Source organism: Homo sapiens, chromosome 2 (assembly GCF_000001405.40).
Source record: "Homo sapiens chromosome 2, GRCh38.p14 Primary Assembly".
Lineage (NCBI taxonomy): Eukaryota > Metazoa > Chordata > Mammalia > Primates > Hominidae > Homo > Homo sapiens.
In genome coordinates this window covers 227,647,430-227,652,262 of record NC_000002.12, presented here as the reverse complement: position 1 = coordinate 227,652,262, position 4,833 = coordinate 227,647,430, and the positions used below count along the sequence as shown (strand labels likewise).

Here is a 4,833-nt window from a genome sequence, read left to right as displayed (position 1 = left end):
CTAGGTAGTCATTCGTTTTCTGTAGTCCATAAGGAAAAGCATTCAGTTCAGAGGGGCCATGTAAGCAGAATGCTGACAAATAAAATAATATACCATTCACCGTCTTTTTATAATAAATGAAGATACTAGCAGGGGGCAAACTTGGTGCCCATCCTAATCAGAGTTGTGGAAATCTCGCACTGAAGAGGATTTGTTGTAGCTATTTCTCCATGTGAGCACTCATATTCTTTGAGTCTTTTCACTGTGCTGGTGATGGACTTCCTAATTTAGTTGAACCAACCCATCCAACCATCTTGAGTTAAACATTCTGCTGCTAGCATTAGGGGAGGAATCAGGAGTTATTTCCAATGTAAAAACCTGAAGCCATGGTCTCTCCTGGTCCTCAAAAATGGTGAGTGATGTTTTGTCCATGACTGATTCAGAAAGAGGATTTGAGATTTGATTTCCTGGCTAATTTTGGGGGTTTTATTTGAGACAAGGTCTCACACTATTACTCAGGCTGGAGTGCAGTGGCACGATCATACCTCCCTGCAGCCTCCATCACCTGGGCTCAAGTGATCCTCCTGCCTTGGCCTCCCAAAACTCTGGGATGATAGATGTGAGCCACTGTGCCTGGCCCTAGAAATCATTTCTACTCTCTATTTTATTAGAAGTAACCCAGGAATTAATGTTCTGCAAAATACACTTGTAAAACTGCAATGGATCTGGTGACAAGAAATTATGCATTTTTCTAAAGTATGCAATTATTTAATATCTCACTTTCCAGAGGATTATTTCTAGTGAATACAGGTCTCCCCTGGCTATTCCCCTTAATCGCCAGCAGGACTAATCAGTGTAAATAACAATCTCAATTGCTAAACTCACTTAAAACTTAACGGTTTCAGGCTCCAGCACCTGCCTGTGACTTATACGAGCTGGATGATGACCAGCGTCTCCACGCTCTGAAAGATGGTCCTTCTCTCTTCCACGGCCACAGAAGCTAGATGTGGATTCCTACGTAGAGGTGGCATAATGTGGAATGTAACCCACGTTATGCACCTGCTACCAGGAAAGCATTAGGCCAGGAAATTTCTTCACGACTACACCTGTGTGATGTGCATTACAATCTCCCTAGTCAGCTAAGGGAAACTGAGGCCCCAAGACACAGAGAAACTCGGACAGGATCACATGACTTGAAAGAGTGGATTAGAGATTTTAATTTACTCAACTACAATGCCCATGTTCTTCCCACCAGAAAATCCTCTTTTCCTTATTCCAGAGCTGTTTTAGGAGTAAGTAACCAGCATATTCTTGAGAATCAGATGGTCGCTTGTAGTTCTCATTCCAGAGAACAACTTTAAATAAGTTAAACGCTTGGAAAACATATTATTATTTGAATTTTTATGGTCAGAAAAGTCTGGTTTGATGACTGTACTTTCAACAAGCGCTTCTAGGATACTTTTTTTTTTTTTTTTTTTTTTGAGACGGGGTGTCACTCTGCTGCCCAGGCTGGAGTACAGTGGCGAGATCATGGCTCACTGCAACCTCTGCCTCCCAGGCTCAAGCAATTCTTGTGCCGCAGCCTCCAGAGTAGCTGGCACTACAAGCATGTGCCACCATGCCTGGCTAATTTTTGTATTTTTAGTAGAGACAGAGTTTTGCCATGTTGGCCAGGCAGGTCCCGAACTCCTGGCCTCAAGTGATCCACCCGCCTCTACCTCCCAAAGTGCTGGGATTATAAGTATGAGCCACTGCTCCCAGCTCGATACCTTTGATGGGTCAGACACTGTGCTAGACTCTAAGGTGACAAAACTGAATCCCTGCTCTCAAGGAGATCCCAGGCTAGTGGTAAGATGTGCGTGTCAGCACATCAATACCTTTCAAAGCCATCAGTATGGCAAATTGTATAGCTTATGACTGATGACTGCGTAGTGTGTGCCAGGCATTGTTTTAACATGCACTAGCAAATGGAATCCTCAAAACATATTATCATCCCCACTTTACAGATGAGGATTCTGAGGTATAAAAAGGTCCAGTAACTTACCAAAGGTCACATGTTTGTAAGCAGCAGAGAAGGATTTGGACCTGACTGTCTGACTGCAGAATCCATGGTCTTAAATGGCATGCCCAGGCTGGAGTGCAGTGGCATGATCATAGCTCACTGCAGCCTCAAACTCCTGGGCTCAAGCAATCCTCCTGCCTCAGCCTCCCAAGCTGCTAGGACTATAGGTGCCAGGCTAATTTTTACTTTTCTTTTTTTTGTAGAGAGAGGGTCTCACTATGTTGCCTAGGCTGGTCTGGAACTCCCAGGCTCAAGCAATCCTCCCACCTTGGTCTTTCAAAGTGCTAGGATTACAGGCATGAGCCGTTGCACCCAACAATTTTATCTTATTTTGCCTCTCTTTCCTAGCCACCATCTACATTCACCCACCTCACACCAAGTAGATTTTGCCTTCTAAACCAATCCACCTTTTTTCTTCACAATAAACACCAGTACATCCCATGAGGTACAAACTGGTTTAGCTAGAAGCTATGACTGGGCTGGATTCAAATACCAGAGATTGTCACAAAAAGCATATCTGGCATACAGCTTTTACCATGTTAGTGACTATACCCAAAAGCCAAAAACAGCAAGAATAAAGTTCTACCAAACTTCAAGAGTGCTTGGGTAAAAGTCTACCTGGGAACCCAAAGCATGAGGACACAGATTAGGTCATAGCAAAGGGCATTCTCAGGCTCAGTAAATCTGTGGATTTATTTTGGTAGTCTAGAAATTCAGAGGACAGGGATTTGAGAAGGTCTACCCCAACCGCCTTTGTGTCATCCTCCACCCACTGTACATTCCCCTTATAGAAAGTGAAATAATCACTTACGACAGATAGGCGCCGATAATTGGCCAGTGCCAGCAGTTCCAAGAGAAACTGTGGCCAAAATTGTCTTGAATGAGAGAGCTACTAAGTAGTTTCTTATGGTTCCTCCAGGGCAGCCCAAAAAAGTAAAGTGAAGAAAACGGAAGAGTAGAAGATAAACACACACATTTCTTCCTCTGACATTCAATCTCAAACTGGTCATTTGTTCCATATTTTCCTGATCACCGAGATGGTAACGCAATGGGCTCCTCAGTTTTGTACTGATGGATATCAAAGGGAAAGAAGGCGGTCAGGTTTTTCCAGTACTGAAACATCCTTTTTGACCTTTTGGTTCTCACTGTGAAGAGGAATAAACTATTTTGTTACATGCTAGTAAGCAACAGTATCTGAGCAGCCCTAGATTGTTCTGGAAATCCTGTCAAGTGTAAACAGATTAATTTATCCATTATGGCCTCTTTTCCTAGCCTCCATAGCTTATTGCAGATCAAATTACATTTATAAAGTTTAAAAGGCTGATAACTAAGATAATAGCTGCTGTGTTTTTTACACCTGGAAATATAAATTCTCACCTTATGAATATCTGTCATTCAATTTGTTTCCCTGAATTTCAGTTTCCCATTGCTTTCCAAAGTATTGTTAGAAATTCATGTAAACCATGAAACTAGACCCACTTTGGCAAAGGCCAAGCAGTGCGTCCTGGGGTTGATACATCTCATCTTGATAATGTTAAGTGTCAGAGGCCCAGGGTGTATTTCACGTCCTGATGTTTTTTTGTCTTTGCACTCTCCCCACTTAATCTTGCAGATGACAGATGAGATCTTCCCCGTTTGGACATACTCCTACCTGGTGCTGCTGCTGCTTGTGTTTGTCCTCACCGATTACGTCCGCTACAAGCCAGTCATCATCTTGCAAGGTATTATTAGTTTCATCATTACCTGACTGCCGCTCCTGTTTGGCCAAGGAGTGAAGACCGTGCAGGTTGTAGAGTTCTTCTACGGGATGGTCACTGCCGCCGAGGTGGCTTACTACGCCTACATATACAGCGTGGTCAGCCCCGAGCACTACCAGAGAGTGAGCGGCTACTGCAGGAGTGTCACGCTGGCCACCTACACAGCAGGGTCGGTGCTGGCCCGACTCTTGGTATCCCCGGTGAACCTGTTGTACTTTTACCTCAACGTCATATCCTTGGCCTCTGTCTCCGTGGCCTTCCTTTTCTCACCTTTTCTACCAATGCCCAAAAAGAGCATGTTTTTTTCATGCAAAACCCAAAAAAGAAACTCCTCAAAAGCCACCAGGAGAGGACGCCATCTTAGAGGAATCTCACAAGGATCACAAAGCAGTTCACTCGGAATTATTCACTGTTTCAGGGGACCTGGATGCCAGCAGTGGGGCACCCCAAAGCCAAGCAATGTGGCTTTGAGAGATTTTGTGCAGTGGTCCCGGGATTTGCAGGAGTGCTACTCCTCGAAGCATCTCTTTTACTGACCCCTGTGGTGGGCTTTTTCCACAACAGGTTTTAACCAGATGTTAAACTATGTTCAAATCCTATGGGATTACAAGGCACCATCTCAAAGTTTCACAATACATGTATTAGTCGATTTTCATGCTGCTGACAAAGACATACCCAAGACTGGGTAATTTATAAGGAAAGAGATTTAATTGACTCACAGTTCAGCATGGCTGCAGAGGCCTCACAATCATGGCAGAAGGTAAAGGAGGAGCAAAGTCACTGATTACATCGCAGCAGGCAAGAGAGAATGAGAGCCAAGCGAAAGGGGAAACCCCTTATAAAACTGTCAGATCTTATGAGAGTTATTTGCTATCATGAGAACAGTACGGGGGAAACTACCCCCATGATTCAATTATCTCCCACTGGGTCCCTCCCACAACACGTGGGAATTATGGGAGCTGCAATTCAAGAAGAGATTTGGATGGGGATACAGTCAAACCCTATCAATATATAATGGAGCAGTAGAAGCCCTTG

General features: G+C 43.9%; 1 pseudogene; it reads left to right on the top strand.

Moving 5' to 3' along the window:
- LOC100420667 (solute carrier family 19 member 3 pseudogene) lies at window positions 3,652–4,421 on the top strand (annotated as a pseudogene).